The sequence below is a fragment of the Homo sapiens genome, chromosome 7 (genome assembly GCF_000001405.40).
Source record: "Homo sapiens chromosome 7, GRCh38.p14 Primary Assembly".
Taxonomy (NCBI): domain Eukaryota; kingdom Metazoa; phylum Chordata; class Mammalia; order Primates; family Hominidae; genus Homo; species Homo sapiens.
In genome coordinates this window covers 77,175,972-77,201,600 of record NC_000007.14, presented here as the reverse complement: position 1 = coordinate 77,201,600, position 25,629 = coordinate 77,175,972, and the positions used below count along the sequence as shown (strand labels likewise).

Genomic DNA, 25,629 nt, shown 5'->3' with positions numbered 1-25,629 from the left:
AGTGCTCTAAGTTTTTTTTTTCTTTTTTTGTGAGGGGTGGGGCTGGGGGATGGAGTTTCACTCTTATTGCCCAGGCTGGAGTGCAGTGGTACGATCTAGGCTCACTGCAACCTCCACCTCCTGGGTTCAAGTGATTCTCCTGCCTCAGCCTCCCGAGTAGCTGGGATTACAGGCACACGCCACCATACCTGGCTAATTTTTTTTTTTTTTTTTGTATTTTTAGTAGAGATGGGGTTTCACCATGTTGGCCAGGTTGGTCTCAAACTCCTGATCTCAGGTGATCCACATGCCTCGGCCTCCCAATGTGTTGGGATTACAGGCGTGAGCCACCACGCCCAGCCAAGTGCTCCAAGTTTGCATGACTATCATTCCTGTATGAGGGAAGAAATAGCTAAATTCCTCCGCTACAGCTACAGGAACAAAGGCTCATTAAAGCTGATGATCTGTTTACATGATCAGAGGTAGATCTAGGGTTGGAAGCCAGGTCTCCTGAGTATGCGAGAATAAATACAGTCATGGAAGAGTAAAGAGTCTGCCAACATTTTGAGAATGTGAATAGGATTTGGCTAAAATTAAGGGGATATACAGAAAAGTCATAGGAAATCAGGTTAAAGACATAAATATGAGATAGGCTACAGAGTGTTTTAAGTAATACAATAAAACATTTAGATTTTTGCCCATGTCAGTCATTTTGAAATTATTTTTAAAGCAAAAAAACCCTTTTTAAACAAGAAATCTTATGAGATGTCAATATGCAAAACAAATTAAAAGGAGGTGGTTTCTCTAACTGAAGCTGTTCCTCTTTCCTGCCTTCAGCCTCTGAAGAGAAAGTTAGAAAACTATTATCATTAATGCTACATGTTTTGAACAAGCTGATATACCAAGTGGCCCAGAGAGCAGGTAGAAGAACCAGCGTGGAGACAGAAAGCAAGAGGCCCGCCTGCCAGGGCTACCTGCAGAAAGAAAGGGCAAAGATGCTGTAGGCAAGAGAAGTTCAGGACAGACACTGGCATAGCTCAAAGATTCACATTTGAGCAGCTGTGGAAGATGACAGTACAATTACCAAAATGTCGAAGGGCAAAGGAGGCAGCTACTGGTTTTGATGAAAGACAATTATGTCCTTTTAAATGGGTCTTAGACATTTAGACATTAATATACACTATGCTACGGACAAAGGAATAGAAAGTAGCACTTTTTTCTCCACTAGTTTTCTTCTCTTTTTCAAGTAGATGAAGCAAAAGTCAACTGCAATAGTCAGAAAGCTGTACTTTGTTACACTTAGAAACTTCTAAAAGTGCTTAAGATTTCACCTGAAAGTCCAACATGAAGAAAATACAGGCTCCCCAATGCCCCATTCTAAGAAGGAAAAAGGACCATTTTCATTTTAGTAACGTTTCTGTTCTATAGACAGTTTGGATAACTAGCTCTTACTTTTTATCTTTAAAAACTGTTTTTCCAGTGAAGTTACGTATAATTATTTACTTCAAGCGTAAGTATACCAAATTACTTTAGAAATGCAAGACTTTTCTTATACTTCATAAAATACATTATGAAAGTGAATCTTGTTGGCTGTGTACATTTGACTATAATAATTTCAATGCATATTATTTCTATTGAGAGTAAGTTACAGTTTTTGGCAAACTGCGTTTGATGAGGGCTATCTCCTCTTCCTGTGCGTTTCTAAAACTTGTGATGCAAACGCTCCCACCCTTTCCTGGGAACACAGAAAGCCTGACTCAGGCAGCTGCCGCTATTAAAGCAGCTCCAGCCCTGCGCACTCCCTGCTGGGGTGAGCAGCACTGTAAAGATGAAGCTGGCTAACTGGTACTGGCTGAGCTCAGCTGTTCTTGCCACTTACGGTTTTTTGGTTGTGGCAAACAATGAAACAGAGGAAATTAAAGATGAAAGAGCAAAGGATGTCTGCCCAGTGAGACTAGAAAGCAGAGGGAAATGCGAAGAGGCAGGGGAGTGCCCCTACCAGGTAAGCCTGCCCCCCTTGACTATTCAGCTCCCGAAGCAATTCAGCAGGATCGAGGAGGTGTTCAAAGAAGTCCAAAACCTCAAGGAAATCGTAAATAGTCTAAAGAAATCTTGCCAAGACTGCAAGCTGCAGGCTGATGACAACGGAGACCCAGGCAGAAACGGACTGTTGTTACCCAGTACAGGAGCCCCGGGAGAGGTTGGTGATAACAGAGTTAGAGAATTAGAGAGTGAGGTTAACAAGCTGTCCTCTGAGCTAAAGAATGCCAAAGAGGAGATCAATGTACTTCATGGTCGCCTGGAGAAGCTGAATCTTGTAAATATGAACAACATAGAAAATTATGTTGACAGCAAAGTGGCAAATCTAACATTTGTTGTCAATAGTTTGGATGGCAAATGTTCAAAGTGTCCCAGCCAAGAACAAATACAGTCACGTCCAGGTATGTATAATAATGTTTTCTTATCATATGTTCATAAATGTTATACAGCTAGAGAGTATCTATAAACATTAACCTGAGTCAGTAAGTTAAATAGATGACAGATTAAGTCTTTTATTTATCAAGGTGCACAGGAAAAAATAAATATCTTCTCAAATATGACCACATAAATATGACCTAATTACAAAAATCATAGTTAGTTCTGTATCCACTGGAAGTCACTTTCAATTTTAAGATCTTATTTGTTAATGCCAGACCTACTTGCAAGCAGAAGTAGAGAGAATTTCTTGATGTTTTAGTGCATTTAACTTGTCTCTTCAATGAGGTGTTTGAAAACAATAAAGATAAGGCGATGTTCACAATTGTGCCTTGTTTGTTGGAAATCAGTTTTTCTTGTGATTGACTGACTGCCGCTTCTCATGGCTAAAGAGGTCTTTGAAAGATTTTAGCAAGTAATCTAGTTCTTAATCCCAAATATCTGGAGAAAATGGGAGAGTTTACAGATGGAATAAAAGCAGTTTCATATGTGTGCACAAATTTTTGCTTTGAGACCTAGTGGCACAAAAAATATTTTAAGGGGAGAGTTTTAGCATGCCACTAAGGGAAGGTATTCATATTTCTTTCTCTTTTACCTGAAGTTAGAATTCAAGCAGATAGAAGTAGAACCCATCCTCACCATCCAAATTACTTGAATTAACTTTAATAAATACATGTGAAATTCCACAGACTTAATCGCCTACTCCACCCACGAACTAACAGTGGTATTGACTCTCCAAACCTTGGCTTTTCACCTGAGTCACTGGGACCACTGTTGCTGACTGTCTCATACTTTGGAAAGCCATCTCCGCATTTGGACCTCTACTTACCATGAACGTGAGGTTGAAAGGACAGGGCGGAGATCACTTTCATTTAGAGACAGTATCTCAGGCATGCTCCATCCCCAGGGCATCTGCCAGTGAAGGAGGGAAGGGTCATATTTTCAAGGACCTCTATTGGTAATACTCCTGGCAGCCTGCATCTGAATGTACCTGGCACACTGCGAATCCAAGGTTCACCGCTTAGGTGACATCAGTGGGTATACATTAGATTAGATGCTGCATGGCAACTTGTCATGATATGAAGACTATTGTCTATTTTTCTCCTAAACATTTTGGGTGAAATAACTGAATATTCTGAGCTCTAAATATACAGGAATAGATTTTTATGCCTTAGGGTATCTCATATTAAACTTACCTTATTTGTCACACATTTTAATAAAAACTATCTGGGAGTAAATATCTGTCTGATTCATACAGAACTTTGTTAACTGATTATTATGCTTATCCTCAATATAGTCACCTGTTGTTTCTTTCTAGAAACCCAACATGTGAAATAGTGGCTAAATACTTTCCTAGATAATAAATACAGAATAAGAATATTGGTGTGTCATTGAAAAAGATACTTCTTTTTCACTTGAGCTTCTTTATATAGTTGTCAAGTGAAATGAATATGAATTTATGATCAATCCTATGCATTAGGATTTTAACACATCATTTGGAATATATGCTATAAAACCTTCTGACAGTAGAGGCTATCAGCCCCTTTAGGTGAAAGAAAATAGAAGCCTGTGCTTCCTCTGTATGCAAGGAATACAGTTCTAGGAGAGTTAGAATCATCTGATTTTTAGGACCAAGGGATGCAATGATTACGAGAACAAAGCTTTGCTGCCAGCCAGATCTGAGTTAGTGTCCTGGCTCTGCCACTTAAAGCTCAGGTGAAGGTGGGCAAGCCACTGATCTTTATGCCTAAATATCCTCACATGCAGACTGGCAGTAACGCCTACATCATAAGGTCAATGTTCAGATTCAGTGTGAAAATGTTACCCAGTCTGGCAGCATGCCTAGAACGTATAGGTAGGCCTCACTACATAATACTAAATTATTAAAACTGTACTTTTATTATTTTCTTATTGTCGTTTGCTGTTGATGCTGTCATTATTACTACCAACCAAGAGTATATTAGAGGTCCTTTCTGCTTTATAACATTAGGTTCTTCTTGTGAGGCCTTAAGCATTTGCTAAACAGGTTCAAGTAAGTTTAGTAAAGTTTCATTACTGCCATTGATTCAATTATCAAACTGCTTTTGTACATATAAAGAATTCTTCAGATGCATGGTTTCTATTAACAAGATCCAATGCCTTCCTTTTATTTCCCCTTCAGTTCAACATCTAATATATAAAGATTGCTCTGACTACTACGCAATAGGCAAAAGAAGCAGTGAGACCTACAGAGTTACACCTGATCCCAAAAATAGTAGCTTTGAAGTTTACTGTGACATGGAGACCATGGGGGGAGGCTGGACAGTGCTGCAGGCACGTCTCGATGGGAGCACCAACTTCACCAGAACATGGCAAGACTACAAAGCAGGCTTTGGAAACCTCAGAAGGGAATTTTGGCTGGGGAACGATAAAATTCATCTTCTGACCAAGAGTAAGGAAATGATTCTGAGAATAGATCTTGAAGACTTTAATGGTGTCGAACTATATGCCTTGTATGATCAGTTTTATGTGGCTAATGAGTTTCTCAAATATCGTTTACACGTTGGTAACTATAATGGCACAGCTGGAGATGCATTACGTTTCAACAAACATTACAACCACGATCTGAAGTTTTTCACCACTCCAGATAAAGACAATGATCGATATCCTTCTGGGAACTGTGGGCTGTACTACAGTTCAGGCTGGTGGTTTGATGCATGTCTTTCTGCAAACTTAAATGGCAAATATTATCACCAAAAATACAGAGGTGTCCGTAATGGGATTTTCTGGGGTACCTGGCCTGGTGTAAGTGAGGCACACCCTGGTGGCTACAAGTCCTCCTTCAAAGAGGCTAAGATGATGATCAGACCCAAGCACTTTAAGCCATAAATCACTCTGTTCATTCCTCCAGGTATTCGTTATCTAATAGGGCAATTAATTCCTTCAGCACTTTAGAATATGCCTTGTTTCATATTTTTCATAGCTAAAAAATGATGTCTGACGGCTAGGTTCTTATGCTACACAGCATTTGAAATAAAGCTGAAAAACAATGCATTTTAAAGGAGTCCTTTGTTGTTATGCTGTTATCCAATGAACACTTGCAAGCAATTAGCAATATTGAGAATTATACATTAGATTTACAATTCTTTTAATTTCTATTGAAACTTTTTCTATTGCTTGTATTACTTGCTGTATTTAAAAAATAATTGTTGGCTGGGTGTGGTAGCTCACGCCTGTAATCCCAGCACTTTGGAATGTCAAGGCAGGCAGATCACTTGAGGTCAGGAGTTTGAGACCAGCCTGGCCAAACATGTGAAACGCTGTCTCTATTAAAAATACAAAAATTAGCCGGGCATGGTGGTACATGCCTGTAATCCTAGCTACTTGGGAGGCTGAGGCAGGAGAATCGCTTGAACCTGAGAGGAAGAGGTTGCAGTGAGCCAAGACTGAGCCACTGCACTCCAGCATGGGTGACAGAGAAAACTCTGTCTCAAACAAAAAAATAATAAAATTTATTCAGTAGGCTGGATTCTACACAAAGTAATCTGTATTTGGGCCATGATTTAAGCACATCTGAAGGTATATCACTCTTTTCAGGCTATAATTATTTGGGTAATCTTCATTCTGAGACAAACTTAATCTATATCATTTACTTTGCAACAGAACAACCCTACAGCATTTTGGTTCCCAGACTAAGGGAACTAATATCTATATAATTAAACTTGTTCATTTATCATTCATGAAATATAAAATACTTGTCATTTAAACCGTTTAAAAATGTGGTAGCATAATGTCACCCCAAAAAGCATTCAGAAAGCAATGTAACTGTGAAGACCAGGGTTTAAAGGTAATTCATTTATAGTTTATAACTCCTTAGATGTTTGATGTTGAAAACTGCTTTAACATGAAAATTATCTTCCTCTGCTCTGTGTGAACAATAGCTTTTAATTTAAGATTGCTCACTACTGTACTAGACTACTGGTAGGTTTTTTTGGGGGGGGTGGGTAGGGATATGTGGGTAATGAAGCATTTACTTACAGGCTATCATACTCTGAGGCCAATTTTATCTCCAAAGCAATAATATCATTAAGTGATTCACTTCATAGAAGGCTAAGTTTCTCTAGGACAGATAGAAAACATGAATTTTGAAATATATAGAACAGTAGTTAAAATACTATATATTTCAACCCTGGCTGGTAGATTGCTTATTTTACTATCAGAAACTAAAAGATAGATTTTTACCCAAACAGAAGTATCTGTAATTTTTATAATTCATCAATTCTGGAATGCTATATATAATATTTAAAAGACTTTTTAAATGTGTTTAATTTCATCATCGTAAAAAGGGATCATCTCAGAGAGAACAGCAGTATTCTGCGTATTTTTAAAAATGCTCTAGAGTAACATTTGAAGTAATTCACTGTAGTGTATGCCAGTCCTAGAAATAATTTTTTTAATTTCTGGTGTCTGTTTCTAATACACTAACCAAGTTTTCAAAATATATTTACAAAGATGCATCTTTACCCATTATTTTAAAATGATTAAGGAGGATAGTTGCTTCAGGTAACAAGCTAATTTTTCAAATATTAGGCCCTTACAGAACTATTTAGTCAAAAAGTAAGATATTCCTTTAAAATATATAACCCAAAGCTTTCAGTTAAACATGATATATCACAAATACTATTAAAATGTTAAAGAGAAATGCAAATAGCATTAAATGATGACCAAAATGTAAAATATTGTAGATTTCAAAAGCTGTGTCTCTATTAGGTGGGATACCAAATGTAAATGATGTAACTGACGTTGTTTTTTACTTTTTACTTTTTAAAAAAGACTAAAAACGTTTTGATATTATACAATGTATTTGTTTCAGATAAGGTCATTGTCATTTAGTATATATAATTAATATATGTACAAGTTTAAGTAAATTCCTGTGAGTAAAAATGGACTTATCACAAAACATAGTTCTAAAGAAAGGTATATGCTCATATACACGGTGTCCATTAATTTAATGGGAACTAGGTATAACTTCAGGAGAATTTGGCAAATAATTCATTAATCCATGTAAATATTCAAAAGCTTGTTCTATCCACATTATTTCAAGGGATCACTTTATTTTTCATTATACTTTCACAGCACTTTTCTAGTAAATTCTGTAACACAGAAATTCCATTTTGGAATCATTTCATGTTACCAATAATTCTAGACTTTTATAACATTTAACATGTTGATGGAAATAGATTACATCTGCTAGAACCTTTTGCCTTAACTATTCACCAATATATGCTAATATTCATAAATATGGATTGACTGTTTACAAACATTAGAATCTTGTCTTGGTTCCATTTTGATGGCTAATATTTGTTATCTTAATTAAGACTATTTCTGAGGTCATGATTACTTGAAAATATTGACTAAAACTGGGTCCTTAGAAATTCCAGGTGGAGCTGATTTACCTATGACTGAGGGGAAAAAAAAATCAAATTTTACTGATAATAGTAATGCTCCAAATGAATTAATGACACATCTGTTCAATAAATAAAGAGCTTAAATATACAAAACATAAGAAATCTGGGCAACAAAACTTGTGGTCTTTACTTTTGAATAGCTACCCAAGAAAAGGTTTTAAAGGTAAAAGTTATGAGTAATGTCATCACAATAAGCTCTTGTTTAAAATTCTTTTCTTTTATGTATAATTAGGTTTATGTTTCATGTCTTTTTAAAACCTTATAAAAGATTTAATTATCACATCTATTCTTCAATGTGGAAATATTAAATATTGTTGGTTGTAAAATAATATTTATGTACTTACTTGTGTCTGAAAAGTTGTAAAATGCTTACCTCAGCTATACAATATCTGTGACTCTGAAGACTTTAATGAGTACTATTTCATTAACAAGAAGTCAGAGGCAAATAGAGGAACACCATTATCTTACTTCCCTCTAGAATACTGTTGAAACATTTGAAATACAAAAGTTTCAGTTTCATTTTGTGGCATTCAACTTCCTCTCCTCTTTTTCCGTTATTAGTGTTGCTGCTCTGGTTAGCCCTCTTCATCTCCTTAGGACAACACAAACGCATCTGAATAGTCTGTACCTCTGGTTTCAGTCTATTCCAGTCCAACTTTCATCCCTACCAGGGGGATTGTTCAAAAGTACAATTCTGATCATGTTATTGTCCTGCTTAAAAAACTTTCAACAACGCCTTCTTTTCTTTTTTTTTATTATTTTATTTTATTTTTTTTAGAGACGGAGTCTCACTCTGTCGCCCAGGCTGGAGTGCAATGGCGAGATCTCGGCTCACTGCAACCTCTGCCTCCTGGGTTCACGCCATTCTCCTCTCTCAGCCTCCTGAGTAGCTGGGACTACAGACGCCTGCCACCTCGCCCAGCTAATTTTTGTATTTTTAGTAGAGACGGGGTTTCACCATGTTAGCCAGGATGGTCTCGATCTCCTGACCTCGTGATCCACCCGCCTAGGCCTCGCAAAGTGCTGGGATTACAGGCATTAGCCACCGTGCCCGGCCAACAATGCCTTATTTTCTACAAGATAAAATCTGGCAAATAAGTCCCTTCATGAAATGATTTTTACCACTACTTATACTTCTGCCATACTAAACGCCTTGTTGTACACAAACAAACTACGCTTTCTAATGTTTTCATTGCCTTTAGTATACTGTTTCCTTGGTCTAGATAGAATGCCATCCTCTTTCCTCACTGGGTTTTGTCTTATCACCCATGATTAACAGCAGGAACTCAGGAGCTGGCCTTCCTGGTTTGAATTTCAGCTCCACTATTTGCAAGCTGTATGATCCTGGGCAAGTCACTTAATGTTCTTTGGTTCCTTCAATTATAAAATAGGAATAGTAATAGAATCTGCCTGATAGAGTTATTGAGAGGATTAAATCACATATATAAAGCACCTAGAACATATATATTTAAAAATCATCATTCCCAGCTGGGTGTTGGTGGCACATGCCTGTAATCCCAGCACTTTGGGAGGCCGAGGTGGGCGGATCACGTGAGACCAGCCTGGCCAACATGGTGAAACCCCATCTCTACTAAAAATACAAAAATTAGCCAGGTGTGGTGGCTCACACCTGTAGTCCCAGCTACTCAGGAAGCTGAGGCAGGAGAATTGCTTGAACCTGGCAGACAGAGGTTGCAGTGAGCAGAGATGGCGCCACTGCACTCCAGCCTGGGTGACAGAGAAAAAAAATCATCATCATCCTAAGTAGTTATTATTATTTTTTATTTTTTGAGATGGAGTCTTGCTCTGTCGCCCAGGCTGGAGTGCAGTAGCACCATCTCGGCTCACTGCACGCTCCGCCTCCTGGGTTCACACCATTCTCCTGCCTCAGCCTCCCAAGTAGCTAGGACTACAGGTGCCCGCCACCACACCCAGCTAATTTGTTTTGTATTTTTAGTAGAGACTGGGTTTCACCGTGTTAGCCAGGATGGTCTCGATCTCCTGACCTCGTGATCCGCCCACCTTGGCCTCCCAAAGTGCTGGGATTACAGGCGTGAGCCACTGCGCCAGGCCCTAAATAGTTATCTCTTATAGGCAGAGTTCTCTGATGACAGTAGGTGGGGTCCTGGCACCTCTCCTAGATCTTATGCCATCCTACATATTCCTTATTATATATTATTCAATATTGTCTAAGTTCTATCCTGAAATCAATCTGTGTGAATAGGAGTAAAGGAAATTTGAGACATGAGTATTGTTATTCAAAGTGATTAATAATATGTTGCCACAGAGAAAGAGTTGTACTCTAAAGAGGCCACAGTTATGATTGGGAAAGTAGTGGGTAGGGTCAAATCTGCGGATATGAGAGACTGTGAACATAGGTGAGAAGCAATTACAGCCAGGGAGAATATGGCAAGACAGGATCAAATACAGTAAGTCCTCACTTAACGCTGTTGATAGGTTCTCAGAAACAGCGACGTTAAAACAACATACCATGTAACAAAACCAATTTTACCATAAGCTAATTGACATAAACAAGAATGAAGTTCCTATGGCATACAATATGCTGTTTTTGCTTAAAGTTGCTGTTTCCAAGAACCTATCCATGATGTTAAGTGAGGACTTACTGTATACTATAGGACTGGGAATGTAACAGTGGCAAACTTTTAGAAGGGGTCCTAGGAACATGCCTGTGGGGACATGTCACACAGAGGCATATTGCTGTACCTGCCCAATAGTGATTGTTCCACCCTACTGAATTCCTGAAGAAAAAAGCAGGAATAATTTTGAAATTAATTTTAATATAAAATCCATGAATCCTTTAATTTTTTAAAAAGTTACAGATTAAAATAAAGACTCCTTCACAAATCACCTTCAATTTCAATCCTGTCCCTCTCCCCAGAGGTAACAAGCCGAGGTGGCCAATTCCCAACTTTAATTTCATTCTGTGCATTGCCAGATCACAATGTCTACTAAGTCATAAGCTTGCCAGGTCTCCTTTGTTGATTGACTGGAAAGAGGTGGAAATGAGAGGAAATGGGTATACTTTGAAAACATGGAGTGTCCCGAATTCCCAAACATGAGTGGGCCCCCCCTTGCTTTTTGAAGTAGTCCCTCCCCTGACATTGATGAGGATGTCCTCTTGCTGGAGGGCACTGTTGCTTTCTTTCCTGGGGGAACACTCCAAATTCTTCCTTAGGCTCCTTCATCCCACTCATCAGCATCTCCAGATTCATCATCAGGGCATGCCCCAGTATCAGTTCTAAAGTCTAATGGAAAGAGAAGGCTTTGCACAACTTTGCTAACTTATATCAGCAGAAGGCTGGAGAAGACATGTAGAGAGAGACTGAGGTTGCCTGATTAAGGAAGAAACAATTTTAGATGTGACTGAATTTACTGGTATAGGTATATTTACCAGAAATTATAGATTCAACAGGCTATCTTGAGAAGACATGTTTGAGTCTAATAGTTTGCTTGCTTAGTTAATACAAACTTACATTCAATAGCAGCTCATGGTAACTAAAGTTGAGAAGCCAGAAATGTCTTCGAACTCAGACTTATGGAGATAGAAATGCTGGGGTAAAGTTAGCCTTAATTCATTCATCGAGTATTCACTGAGTGCACACCATGTGTCAGTCTTCTAGGAGGCTGGAGATTTATCAGTGACCAACACGGATAAAAATCTTACACTCATGCAGCGGGTAGTAGAGACAAATATATGGTAAATATTTATCAGAGGAGACAAATACATGATAAATACCATTAAAAATTAAGGAGAGTAAGGGAGTAGTAGAAAAGGGGGTGCTGTTTCATATAGAGCAGTCAGAAGAGGCCTGTCTGTGGAGGTGAAATTTGAACAGAGACCTAAAGATATGAGAGCTCAAACCAGGCAGATGTCTGGGATAAGTGTGTTTCAAACAAAGGGAACATTAGGTGCAAAAGCCCCAAGCCTGGAAGAGTGGATAGCATGTTTGAAGGTCAGCAAAGATGTCTGTGTGAAACAGCAGAGGGTCTGGGGTGGTGAGAAGATGAGATCAGAGACAGCTTGGGTGGTTGGGGATGAACAAGGGATAGGAGTGGTATACCGGATTACCTAGGCCTTTAAGCCATGGTAAGGACTGTGCCTTTTACACTGAGTAGATAAGAGCCGTAAGGGTTTTGAGCAGAGGAAAGACATGATCTCAACCAGTTTTAAAGGGGTCGCTTTTGTAGCTAAGTGGAAAACAGACTGTAGGGAACCAAGGATTGAAGCAAGGACATCAGTTTGATGTTTGCAATATTCTTGCTAAGTGATGAGGAAAGCATGATGAAAAGTTGCAGTGAGATACATCTATTTTGAAGGTAGAGGTGACAAAATTTGCTGATCAAAGGTCAGCCAGTGGTAGATAATAACAATTAGAGGCATTATAGAAAACCGCAAGATTTTAGTCTGAGCAACTGTGAAGGATGGAGCTGCCAGGAACAGAAATGCGGAAGTCTGCAGGGGAAGCCTGTCTGCAAAGTGTGTGAGGAGTGGAATGGAGTGGGGTGGGAGGCTGGAATCAGAAGTTTTGAACATTATAAGTTCAAAGATATCCAAGTGGATATAGGCATTTGAATATTAGTCTGAAGTTCAGGAAAGACATCTAGGGCTCAGAAATACAGTTGAGAAATGTGGAATCCCATGGCAATGAATCCATGGGATTAGATAACCTGGTAAGTAAGTTTATGTGCAGCAGACTTTTACAGAAACAGCCCTGGCACAAGCTGGCCTTGCAGAAGTTGGAGATGAGGAGGAGCCAGCACAGTTGCATCCCACCCATCCACCCTGTAATGATGTCATTCAAGAGGTGCCAGTGACACTTTATGGTGAGGGCAGAGATTCATTCCCATTGCAATAGATACTTATTTTAGATTACGTTAGATATAGATTTGCTTTTCCTTGCTTCTGTCAACAACGGTATTTTTGTTGAGTTACTGGATATCTTAAAAAATCATCATGGTGTTACACAATGGTATTCTACAAAACTTTTAACTTAGGAAGACACCTGACAGCAAAATGAGGGGGTAATGACTGATTGAAGCCTCAAATACTGCATCTTCTTGGAGATACCACCTTAGGAGAGTGGGGTGTTGTGATGTAATTACAGTGCGTGTGTGTGTACCTGTGCATAAGTAGATACACATATGCATATAGCAAAATAAAATGAACTAGGGCACAGATCGAAAAACCTTTTCATTTGTTAGCAGTGTGCTGCTCAAGTTTGAGGAATCATTTGTGGTCATTTAAATTCATTAGAGTACTAGTTTGCTATGATTATAAACCTTTAGTTGGGCAGAGACTAGTTTTACTCCCCTTTTCCTTAGAGACACTAATGATCTTTTTAAAAAATTGTGGGTACATAGTAGGTATACATATTTATGCGCTACATGAGATATTTTGATAGAGGATACAATGCATAATAATCACACCAGGATAACTGGGGTGATAAAGGAAAAACTTCACCCGAATTAAATTTAAAGCAGTTTAAGTAAGCAACAAACAATTTGTGAATCAGGCAGCCCCCATAATCACAGCAGATTCACAGAGACTCCAGGGGTGCCTCGTGGTCAGAACAAATTTATAGACAAAAAAGGTAAAGTGACGTACAGGAATCGGAAGCGAGGTACAGAAACTAGTACTAAAAGACTGGTTACAGCTCGGCATTTGCCTTATTTTGAACGCAGTTTGAACACTCAGCATCTGTGAGTGGTTGAAGTACGGCCGCTGGGATTGGCCAACACTCAGCTATTGTTACGGGTCTATGCTATTAAGTTAGGTATACATCAAATGTAGATTATAAAAATTCAGTTGTAGAGGATTAATGAAAAAACCACTTAAGCAGTAGATTCTTCTTCTAGCTCATTTTTTAATCTATTTAATTTTAGGTGGTTTGGTTTATGGGGACCTTGGGTAAGGAGCATACTCTAAACTCTTGGTATTATCCTCCCAATAGTCATAGTGATAGTCTCCCTGGTGCACTGTATTCTCTCAAAGGTTTTAAATGCTTGCATGCAGCCATCTCTAGAATATCAAATGCTCTCTCTTCGACTGGAATGACAGAAGCTGAAAGAAATGTGTGACCATGAGGACACCATAACCTATGAATGACATGCTGAGACCAGAAACCCAAAATGATGGTAACTGAGAGTGGCGCTGAGGCCCTAAGTTTTGGTCACACTCTCACCTAAGTGAGAACCTGGCCAAAAAGGGGAAATTTTTTAAACAAAATTATGGAAGGCCATTATTTTGGACTGAGCTTATGTACTAGGCCCCAACAAACCAAACCAAACTAAAATGGAGTCACTTGTGCTAAATGTGACATAATCAAACTAAGGCTTTAAGAAAACACACAGCTCCTAGAACAGACCAGGTTTTGGTTTTTTTTCTCCTGTAAACAGGATGTTCCAGCATAAGGAAGTAACCTCTACTCAGTCCTTATTCCCTCCTTGCAAAACCCACTGTTCTACTGCTTCCCAGTGGGTTTCAAAACTATATAAGTTCATTTATATAGTGATGGTAACATCAATGAATAAGGTTTTAGTCAATCTCTCAAAATTGAGAAAATTACCAAAAGTGGAGAATTGTTAAAGCAAACTAAATATGGCCTGAGAAGGACTCCATACTTCTACATTTGAGTCCTTGTGGATGAACAGTAACCTAGCTTAATAGTCAGACAAATCTGAAAACCTAACTTAATTGTATGCACCTATAACAATGGCTGAGTGTTGGCCAATCCCAGCAGCATACTTCAACCACTCAGACTGCTGAGTGTTCAAATTGCATTCAAACAAGACAAACACCGAGCTATAACCAATCTCACTGTTTCTGTTACCTCACTTCCAATTCCTATACGTCACTTTATCTTTTTTGTCTATAAATTTGTTCTGACCACAAGGCACCCCTGGAGTCTCTGTGAGTCTGCTATGATTTTGGGGGCTGCCTGATTCGTGAATTGTTCATTGCTCAATTAAACTCCTTTAAATGTAATTCAGATGAAGTGTTTATAGGGGCATTCATCCCCTCAAGCATTTATCCTTTGTGTTACAAACAATCCAATTATACTTAGTTATTTTAAGGTGTACAATTAAATTATTTTTGACTGTAGTCCCCCATTGTAGGTCTCGTTCATTATTTTTATTTTGTACTCATTAACCATCCTCACTTACCCCCTGCCCTCCCCACTACCCTTTCCAGCCTCTTGTAACCATCCTTCTACTTGCTATTTCCATGATTTCAATTATTTTAATTTTTATCTCCCATAAATAAGTGAGAACATGCAGTTTGTCTTTCTGTGCCTGGCTTATTTCACTTAACATAATGACTTCCAGTTCCATCCATGTTGTTGCAAATGATGGGATCTCATTATTTTTTATGGCTGTATAGTACTCTATAGTGTGTATGTACTACATTTTCTTTATTCATTCATCTGTTGGACACTTAGATTGTATCCAAACCTGGGCTATTATGAATAGTGCTACAATAAACATGGGAGTGCAGATGTATCTTTGATACACTGATTTCCTTTCTTTCGGGTATATACCCAGCAGTGGGATTGCTTGGTCATATGGTAGCTCTATTTTTAGTTTCTTGAGGAACCTGGAAACTGTTCTCCATAGTGGTTGTGCTAATTTACATTCCCACCAACAGTGTATGAGGCTTCCCTTTTCTTCATATCCTCACAGCATTTGTTATTGCCTGCCCTTTGGATAAAAGCCATTTAAACTGGGGTGAGATGATATCTCGTTGGAGTTTTGATTTGCACTTCTCTCATGATCAATAGATTCTTAATTATTTCAATCTCTTTGTTAATCTGATAGAATTCCAAGTTCCATCTCTGTGTCATCTTGAATTTCCTTAAAACAACTATTTTGAATTGTCTGTCTGAAAGGTTACATATCTCTGTTTCTTTAGGATTGGTCCCTGGTACTTTATTTAGCTCATTTGGTGACGTCATGTTTTCCTGGATGGTCTTGACGCTTGTGCATGTTTGTCTGTAACTAGACATTGAAGAGTTAGGTATTTATTGTAGTCTTCGCAGTCTGGGCTTGTTTGTACCTATCCTTCTTGGGAAGGTTTTCCAGATATTTGAAAGAGAACTTGGGTATTGTCATCTAAGCCATATCTGCTTTAGGGGGCACCCCAACAACAGAAACACTGTGGTTCTTGCAGACTCACTGAGATACTACCTTGATAGTCTTGGATAAGATCTGGAAGTTCTTATCTACAGTTCAAGATGAGATTTGGGTGGGGTCACAGCCAAACCATATCACTTTCCCATTTTCTGCAAGAGGCAAGCAACTTGTGTTTATGTTTAAACGTTTATCAAACGGTCCACAAAATTATTTGCTTATATTTCTGTCCCATTCAGTAATGTAATATATTTTTTTCAGTGACTCTAACCTGTTTTAATTTTTGTTCAGAGATTCTTGTTTCTGCATACTGATAATGATAAACAGCTGTTACTTGCTGAGTGCCAACCATGGGCTGGACACTTCCCTAGGAGCATTTCCAATGTCATCTCTGTTTGCTATGATTAATGCTGGAATAAGGAGGCAATACTTTATACTCAGTAACAATCTTCCCTGGAAAAAAAAAAGCCTCTGTTATCTACAAACTGTTTTTCACTTGTAGATAATTATCCATTTTCAGCGGTCCTGACATTCTTGGTCAGGAAGTGGACTAATTTTCCATGGGTAACAGATACACATAGTAAACCTCAGTCTCATCCCCCCATGACTTTCTGTGTGAATCCAGGAAGTGGAAAATGATTCCAGTTGTATCTCAGCTTAAGGTAAAACATCTCTTTCTGTATTTTATCAAAACAATTATATGATATTTTGCTAACAGGAGATATTTCAAAAATTAATATATTTTCAAGTGTGTTAATGTCCCTATTTAACCTAGTGGTTAAAAATTATTTTCTTCCTGCAGCTAAGTCAAAATTTACAACAACCATGACAGAAAGGGCAAACAAGTTCCTATGCTCTCCAAACACTATTTTACTCCCATGGTTACATGGCAGAATTTGCTGATGAACAAATTCTGCTTAAGCACAAAGACTTTGTAAGTTCTCTGGAAGCCAAAGACTTTTTGTGTAAACAGCAAAGTCCTTATTTTCATTTGTTAGATAAAATAATTCTTTCAGAATGTGTCATTTACAAGTAAATTGTGTTGGTGATGGTGACTTTTAAATTTCTATCCTATATGGAATAAATTTATTCAACCTGATGAAGCCAACTATTAGAAACCTAGAAAGGCCGTGATATCATGGATAACTATGAAAGTTGGGTAGGAAAGACCAACACTTTCATGATGAAAGCAGGGTTGGTATTTAACATGCTGCGCTGCTAGAGTCGAGACCCTACTGTGTTTCCAGAGACCCTAAGCTCCTGCAGACATATTTTCAAAACACTGAAGGAAGCGGGGTTGGAAAAGAAGCCAGGAGAATATATAATGTGTGAAACACTATTTAGCTGGAATAGTTCTGCTTTTTTTTCTGTATCATGAGGTTTCATTTCTAATTTCACTTGAAGCAAAGGATTTTTTATCTTTCAAAAAATATTTGAAAATCATTGCCTGCCTATCACATATCCCTTTGGGGGCTCAGCTGGCAAAATAAAACTGGAAGAGATGCACGACAGGTCTAAACTTCAAATCACTGAGAACTTAGGTTGGCTTGATATAGGAAATACATTCAGTAATCCAGAAGAAATTTCTTAAGTTTCCTTTAAAATAGTGATGCAGTAATGTGATTATTTTAGCGAGAGACTTTACTAATTACTAGGTATATTTGCTCTTTTGAAAATCTTAGCATAACTATATGCAAAACAGTGAGCTAAGAGTTTACAAGGACCAAAAAGAATACTATGTGCTTCCTGTTCTCAACGTTCCCAAAGCTACTGTAAATTAGCTGGAAAAACAGGAAAGAAAATAAGTGACATGAGGTAAGTGCAAGCACTATGCGGAGAGCATGCAGAAGCAGAAGTGATCACATTTTATCAGGAAGGGAGATGCTTCAGGAGAAAAGACGAGATCTCAGCTATCCTTGAAAGATGGGTAGAATTCTGAAGCACAGAAACAGGGAAGAAAGCACTCCTGGCCTGGGTGCAGGATGGGCAAAGACATCAGCAGGGTGGAAAACCAGGCACTAGTTAGGAAAACAATAATATGTCTAATTTGGCTGGAGCATGGGAGAAAGAAATGATGGATCAGATTGTAGAGGGATTTGACTGTGAGGTCAAGATGGTGACACTTAATCCTTGTAATAAGGCAAAGAAAAAGTCAAAGTTAAGTATCTACAATCTCCCTCTGCCACCTATTAATTGCTCAGTTCTGTGTCTGCACCTATGAGGTGATGATGGGATACTGGGTGGGAAGGAAAAGTGGAAAAAACTCTGCAGACTGCTTTACAAAATAATGAAATGGCCAAAGAGATCAAGGAGAAGATGGAAAAAGATACAGAGAAGAAATATATAGCCTGAGGGTGGGAAGCCCTGTTTCTGAGGAGATTTTAAAAGAGGGAAGAAAGAGGTGTGGGAGAGGCGTCTGTTGTGATGAGGAATTTGGGGAAGTTTTGCCGCTTGATATGCTGTGAAAGTCATGCCTCCATTTCATGAAGGAGATTTCAGCACAGCCATATTGCTTTCCAAGGCTTTCTGTTTCCTTTAGGCTGTGTTGAGATGGGTTTTTAGGTTGGAGGGAGAAGGCTCGGTTTTATTCAGTTCACAAATTATCTGTACAGAGCAGGGGTTTCTCTGGTGGTTCCTTGAGGTGGGAGGCCTGGGAGTGGTGGGGTTGGTGGTGATGATAGGGTGAAGGGGAGAACAAGGAGCCTTCACTTTGCATCCCTCATCTCTATATCCACCACATCCAAATTTTTTCTTCTTTGAGACAGGGTCTGGCCTTTTCACCCAGGCTAGAGTACAGAGGTCTGATCTTGGCTCATGCAACCTCTGTCTCCCAGGCTCAAGTCATCCCACCTCAGCCTCCCTAGTATCTGGGACTACAGGCGTGCACCATCGTGCCACCTGTAGTCTTTTCTTTGTAGTTTTTTGTTTGTTTATTTGTTTTTTAGTAGAGATGGAGTCTCACTGTGCTGCCAGGCTGGTCTCAAACTCCTGAGCTCAAGCCATCTACCTGCCTGGGCCTTCCAAAGTGCTGGGATTACAAGCCTGAGCCACCACGCCTGGCCTCAAATCTATTTTATATACAGTAAGACTGCCACTGGGAAAAAGTGATAAAAGCAATTTTATAAGATGGTAAAACAATCATGGTAGGCAGTGAAGTATCCCTGAAGTATTATGAGCTGAAAAATGTTTTATTAGTATAAAGTGAGGTTCAGAGAACTTAAATGACTTGAAGTTTGCACAGCTAGAACATACAAAGCTAGACCTAAGACCCATTTTTACTCAATCACTCTCCCACCCAATGATCAGGGTTTTTTCTTTCCAAATCATTAAGATTTAAGATATTTTGAGCCTGTCCATTCTTAGTTGTAGCCTTTATAGACAGCAAAATTCCTATCTTCCTAATCTGAGGTTTAATGTCAGGTAATTCTTGTGCCTCTTTATTTTGTATTTTGCTACTCAGATGTATCTGTTTGCCTCCACCTGGATTGCATAGGCTGAAAAGGGGTAAAGAAATTTTGCCTCAGAAGGTAATAACTTGGCATTAGGTTCTAACCTTGTTGCTTATATCTCCTTTTTGTTTCCCCTACATCAACGTACATACCAGATGGAACAAAGGTTAAAATATGATTACGCAAACCATCAAAGTACTAGGAAAAAACACAGGAGACGTATTTATAACCTCAGAAAAACAAGTCTTTAAGGTATGACACAAAATCCTGAAGCTGCAAAGGAAAAGGTCAATACATTCAAGCATATAAAAAAATTAATTTCCACATGGGGAAAAAAACTATCATAAGCAAACTCAAACAAAATACAATAAACTCACAAGAAGATTTTTGCAGTGTATGTTGTACACAAAGGCCTACTTTCTAAATGTATCAAGAGTTCCTATGAATGTACAAGAAAAAACTAAACTTCCCAGTGGAAAAAATGGGAAAAAAATGTGAGCAGAATTCACACAAAAAGTAGTTACAAGTGGGTCTTTGTACTAAGACCGTACATGTACTAAGGCTCTACATTTCTAGCTTCTGCATAGTTACCGCTTTAACATTTGCCCTATATACGCGGCCTGCATACACCTTGTTTGGGAAAACCTGATAATATATTATGTCTGAGTCACCTGCCTTCTTCATCTCCTCCTCCCTCCTGAGGGCACACTTTTCAAATGCCAACTAACTATTCCAGAGTCTACACCCCCACTGACCTTTATCACCCCACTGCCAGGTTCCAGACAACTAGGGACAGACCTTATGAATGGGCCCAGAGCCCAGTGAAATTATTCAAACTAGCCAATCCTAAGCCTGCTTACCCCTACCTCATCTATTCCTTATCTTGAAAACCACAATAAAGGCTCTTGCCCACAGTTCAGCCCTCTCCCTCTGTCTTCTGATCAACCCCACTACTTTGCCATGTGACACCCTATTCACCACTATAACATGATGTGTCCCTTCCTTCAGGAACTGTGAGTAATAAACTATCATTTCAATGACAATTATCCCCTGATCTGTGTATCTTCCTATATCTCAAATTTCCTATTCATATAAACTTTAAATGGTAAACATATGAAAAAGTCCATTTCACTTATTTTAAGAAAAATATTTTAAAAGACTATCATGAAATAACATTCTTTTTCCTTATCAGAGTGACAATGGTCAAAAAGTTAGATGGCACACAGTGTTGGTATGAGTACAGAGACAGTCATTTATTACTGGTAGGAACACAAATTGCTACAACGTCTATAAAGAGTGCCTTGGCAATAAAAACAATTTTTAAATACACAAACCCATAACCCATCATTCAGCCATTCCACTTCCGGGTATATATCCAAAAATTTTTAAAGGAGGGATCTTTTTTTTGAGACGAGGTCTCACTCTCACCTAGACTGGAATGCAGTAGAGTGATCTCGGCTCACTGCAACCTCTGCCTCCTAGAATCAAGCCATCTTCTGACCTCAGCCTCCCAAGTAGCTGAGACCACAGGCACACGCCACTACATCCAGCTAATTTTTGTATTTTTGTAAAGGTGGGGTCTCACTTTGTTTCCCAGACTGGTCTTGAACTCCTGAGCTCAAGCAATCTGCCTGCCTTACCCTCCCAAAGTGTTGGATTACAGGTGTGAGCCACCATACCTGGTCTTAAAGCAAGATCTTGAAGACATATTTGCATGCCTATCATAATAGCAGATTATTCACAACAGCCAAGAGGTAGAAGCAACCCAAGTGTCCATCAGTGGATGAATGGATAAACAAAATATGGGGTGTGTGTGTGTGTGTGTGTCTGTGTATGGTGGTGCATATATATGGTACATACATATGGGTGCATATATATGGTACATACATATGGGTGCATATATATGGTACATACATATGGGTGCATATATATGGTACATACATATGGGTGCATATATATGGTACATACATATGGGTGCATATATATGGTACATACATATGGGTGCATATATATGGTATATTGTATCTATATGGTGTGTATATATATGTATACACACACAATGAATTATTATTCCATCTTAGGAGAGGAATTCTGACACATGCTACAACATGAACCAACCTTGATGACATTATGCTAAGTGAAATAAGCCATTCATAAAAAGAGAAATACTGTATGATTCTCCTTACAGGAGGTATATCTAAAGTAGACACATTCATGGAAACAAAGTAGGAGAAAAGGGGAATTGGGGAGTTGTTTAATGGGTGTAGAATTTCAGTTTTGTATATGAAAAAGTTCTAGAGATTAGTTGAACAATAATGTGAATATACTTAACACAAATGGTACACTTAAAAACAGTTAAAATAGTATAATTTTATCACAAAGGTTTTTTTTGAACGAGCAAATCCACTGACCCAGCAATCCCACTATTAGGAATTTGACCTTTTAAGATGACTACTCCAGTATTAAATGATGCATGTATAAAGTTAGTCACTCTATCATTATCTGCAAGAGCAGATGATTGGAAATGACCTAAATGTCTCATAATAAGGAACTAGTTTTAAAAAGCATGTTCCATTCATGCCTTGAAATACTATACAATGAAAAAATAAAAATTGTATAAATATGTGAAAAAAACAGTGTGTATATTATACTAAGACTTACTTCTTTGTGCATAGATGTTCTACAAGGCTATATAAAAGATTGTTAATTATGGTTGTCTCTTGGGAGGGGGAGTTTAGATTGTATAATGGGGTAGAAGGCTGACTTTTCATTGTTTACTATTCTGCACCTTCTGGATTTTGTACTATGTATATATTTTATATATTAAAATAGCTTTATATAAATAAAACTAGCCCCATGGCTGAATAAATTTTATTACAATTTTATTATGATTCCCTGATACTCTGTTCCTTAACTTCCCAGTCTGGCTTGCATCTCACTGCTTGACCATTGAGAACCTAATCTTGCTTGCCTAATGAAAACTTTAGTAATTGTCTTGTCTTAGCTAACTTTTCTGGGTTGACTCCTGCTAACTCATTTAACTGATTTACCTGTAAGTCTGGTTACTAGATGGACAAATTCCCAATCCTGCTCCCTTCTGTTTATTTGCCAAGGAATCTACCCAACAGACAACAGTACCCTCTCTCTACCTATATATTAATACATTTTTTGTTGAAAAAGGTATTTTATTTTAATCCTTAAGCTTCCATGTTTAGTCCCCAATGTATTAAAATAGTGATTGCATTACTAAAGACACTGTTTTACAAGATGCACATTCACCTAAGAGCCACGAGCTTTCCAAAGCCAACCTTCTCTCAAAGGAGAAAATACTATTCTTTCTCCTAGTACTTATTTTGAAGAGCAACATCCGTTCAGCGACTATTTAGAAAGCCAGTATCAAAGTTTAGATCATTATTTTTAATATTTAATCAAGTTGCTACAACAGTAGTAAACAATCAATGAAAAATAAAGAGGTGATTAAAACTGTATTAACTACGTAATTAAACACACATGCACATACACATACAAACTAGGATCTCATTATGTCAGTAAAGAACTAGAAAAGGATAAAGGAGAAGAGAGGCAAATAAACCACACAAACAGAGGGACAGATGGGCCACTGAGGGTAGGGCCACTGCTGCGTTTTCCTCCCATTCCTAGCCTTGGGTTTGGCATATTGTAGATGCTCAGGAAAGAGTTTTCAGAATGAACAAAGGAAGATAATCTCACAGATTGTATGTGAGGAGGTAAAGGACCAATTTTTCTTTATCTTTCTTCTTCTCTGTCCCCTTTTCAACATCCTTCTGACTCCCTCTTACCACTAAGCATAGCTTGTTCAAATAGAGTTGTTCTGACAATACCCCAGATTCCTGGCCAAAATCAATCTCCATGTTTGTCATTTTAAAGGTGCCAAGAGGAGGACATCCTAACACAGTGCCTTCTTTCCTCTTACCCTGACCTCTTCTGCAGTGTACAATTTAACTGAATTGAGGGGTATTAATCTACTTTGCAAAGTGGAATTTGGCCTGTATTCTTATAATCTTAGTGTCAATATTCAATCTTTGTAAATGGATTTAGGTATGTTGATATCTCAAATATTTAAGTGCATTACAAGGTCTTCTTCCATACTGGAAAAGTTTTTAAATTTCCACCCCACTGTCAGAGTAAAAACAATAATAACAAAAATATGGGAACAATAGAACCTATCTGTACTGTTCAATAAACTATCCGTCTCTTTAAAGATTCTTGACAGCCAAGGAAAATCTTGAAAAATTATTCTTGCAAGGGTGCCTGGATGTCTGAAGGAAAAGCGAAAACATGCCAATAATAGCAAGATTTGCAGGAAGGTTTATAAAAGAAACTTAGTCATTTTTTAAAGCACAGCCTATAAGTACAGCTGTTAGTGAGGGGTGATAACTAAGGAGAGGATGGGGAAACATACTAGAAATATTTAAACAGAGTGTACATATTTATCTTTGTTTTAATACACAGTCTACTTTAAAAGTCAAATTGTAAAACCTAAAATAGCAGTGTTTAAATGTGTGAATGTCAAGTGAACAATGTCAAGTGAAATGCGCGCTGAAGCAGGAAACGGAAGATTGGGTTCCAAATTCCACCCCGATGTGTAACCCAGGGCGAGTCTCAATCTTCCAGAATCTTTAAGATGGAAATAGCAATATCTCAAAACTCCTATTACAGAATCGTTCTGAAAAGTAAGTTTACATACTTGAAACTACTTCGTAAGCTCCTTGAGGGTGGGGTTCTTATCTTTTCCCCTTTATAACCAGTTACTTAAGGTATAAAAAAATAGAAAATATTTAATTCCTCGAAAAAAATTGAAATGTCATTAGGGATTATCTCAAGAAGCTCATTAGTAACTCTATAGAAGGTCCAACCTACAAAATAAATGAAGCTTTAGTAGCGTCAGCAAATCACCGATACTTTCAGTAATTAAAACTTTAATTTTAGGCCAGGTGCAGGGGTTTACACCTGTAATCCCAGCATTTTGAGAGGCCGAGGTGGGTAGATCACTTGAGCCCAGGAGTTTGAGACCAGCCTGGACAACATGGTGAAACTCTATCTCTACATAAAATACAAAAATCAGCCAGGCCTGGTGTTATGTGTCGGTGGTCCCAGCTACTCCAGGGGCTGAGGTGGGAGGATTGCTTGAGCCCAGAAGGTAGAAGTTGCAGTGAGCTGAGATTGTGTCACTGCACTTCAGTCTGGGCAACAGAGACAGACCTTATATCAAAAAAATTTATTTAAAAAACCAACATTTATTTATCTGGTACCAGCCTTAAGAGAACAAAATATATAGAAAATAAAGCATCTTTTGAATATGTGAATATCCTCATAAAAAAAGATAACTTTACAAGTATGAAATTAGGTAAATAATGGCAGCATCTTTCTTTAAATCCACAGTGGTAGACTGTGTTGTTAAATATACATAGGTATCAAGTTGCAATTCTTTCAGAAAGCATTCTGAATACTATATCAACAACCTACCGTGTCTACTACACCTCTAGCCAGAGACTTCCCCCATAGGCTCAGATCCACATACCGGACATTCCCTTCAGACCTGTTGCTTCTTCTGAACTCTCATGTATGGTGCCATAATTTGGCTGATTTCCTAAATCAGAATGCCAAGCATCAATTTAGAATCTTTTCCTCACCCACTCCATCCACTCAGACACTAAGTCTATAGAATTTTATACTTCCTTAACATCTCTCCTAAATGTATTCACTCCTTTTTTCCTCATTGCCAATGCCACTGTGCAGTCTCTCTTCACATCTTCATCACTGAAATGGCATTCTAACTGGTGAGATGGTAGGAATGGAAAACACAAATTCAAGAGATATTAACAAGAGAGAACCAACTGACAGAACCCAGGAGCAGAGTTGGGTTCCGGAGAAGGATAATGGATTTAGTTGTGAGTATGTTTAGTTTGAGGTACTTTGGGGTCATCTACATGAAGATATTCCAAGTATGTGCATACATGGGTATGGACGAAGAAACCAGATTCATAGTGGACCCTGTGTATATGGATGCAATATACCCTTTCATGTCTTACTGCCTTAAAAGCCTTTCTAGACCATCTCATCCCACAGCAGTCAAGCCTCCCTTTCCCTTC

General features: G+C 38.3%; 2 protein-coding genes across 9 annotated transcripts in view, besides 1 other annotated feature; one reads left to right on the top strand and one right to left on the bottom strand.

Annotated features, from left to right (window-relative positions):
- The window catches only part of CCDC146 (coiled-coil domain containing 146), a 172,590-nt gene that overhangs the window by 93,604 nt on the left and 53,357 nt on the right, over nt 1-25,629 (bottom strand). For 3 of the 8 annotated variants that reach the window (XM_047420663.1, XM_047420666.1, XM_047420668.1), the window contains exons 1-2: nt 8,275-8,397; nt 3,284-3,366 (exon numbers count right to left, since the gene is read on the bottom strand). The exons of the other annotated variants lie outside the window; for them this stretch is intronic. In XM_047420663.1, the coding sequence (XP_047276619.1) occupies nt 3,284-3,286 (3 nt within the window). In that variant the 5' untranslated portion in view covers nt 3,287-3,366; nt 8,275-8,397. Of the gene's footprint in view, nt 1-3,283; nt 3,367-8,274; nt 8,398-25,629 lie in introns of those variants that run through there. 8 annotated transcript variants of the gene reach the window in all.
- Nucleotides 1,782-8,232, top strand: FGL2 (fibrinogen like 2). Its single transcript, NM_006682.3, has 2 exons — nt 1,782-2,420; nt 4,616-8,232. The coding sequence occupies exons 1-2, from the start codon at nt 1,808-1,810 to the stop codon at nt 5,320-5,322; spliced, it is 1,320 nt and encodes a 439-aa protein (NP_006673.1). The 5' UTR covers nt 1,782-1,807; the 3' UTR covers nt 5,323-8,232.
- Nucleotides 2,082-2,191: a silencer, noted in NCBI's record as "silent region_18318". NCBI's record gives its function as "represses an Ori minimal core promoter by ATAC-STARR-seq in GM12878 lymphoblastoid cells {active_cell/tissue: GM12878}" and the evidence as "EXISTENCE:reporter gene assay evidence [ECO:0000049][PMID:35858748]".

Coding starts and splice junctions, on each gene's coding strand:
- FGL2 (NM_006682.3), top strand. CDS start 1,808: ATGAAGCTGGCTAACTGGTACTGGCTGAGCTCAGCTGTTCTTGCCACT. Junction 2,421..4,615: donor ACAAATACAGTCACGTCCAG/GTATGTATAATA, acceptor TTTCCCCTTCAG/TTCAACATCTAATATATAAA.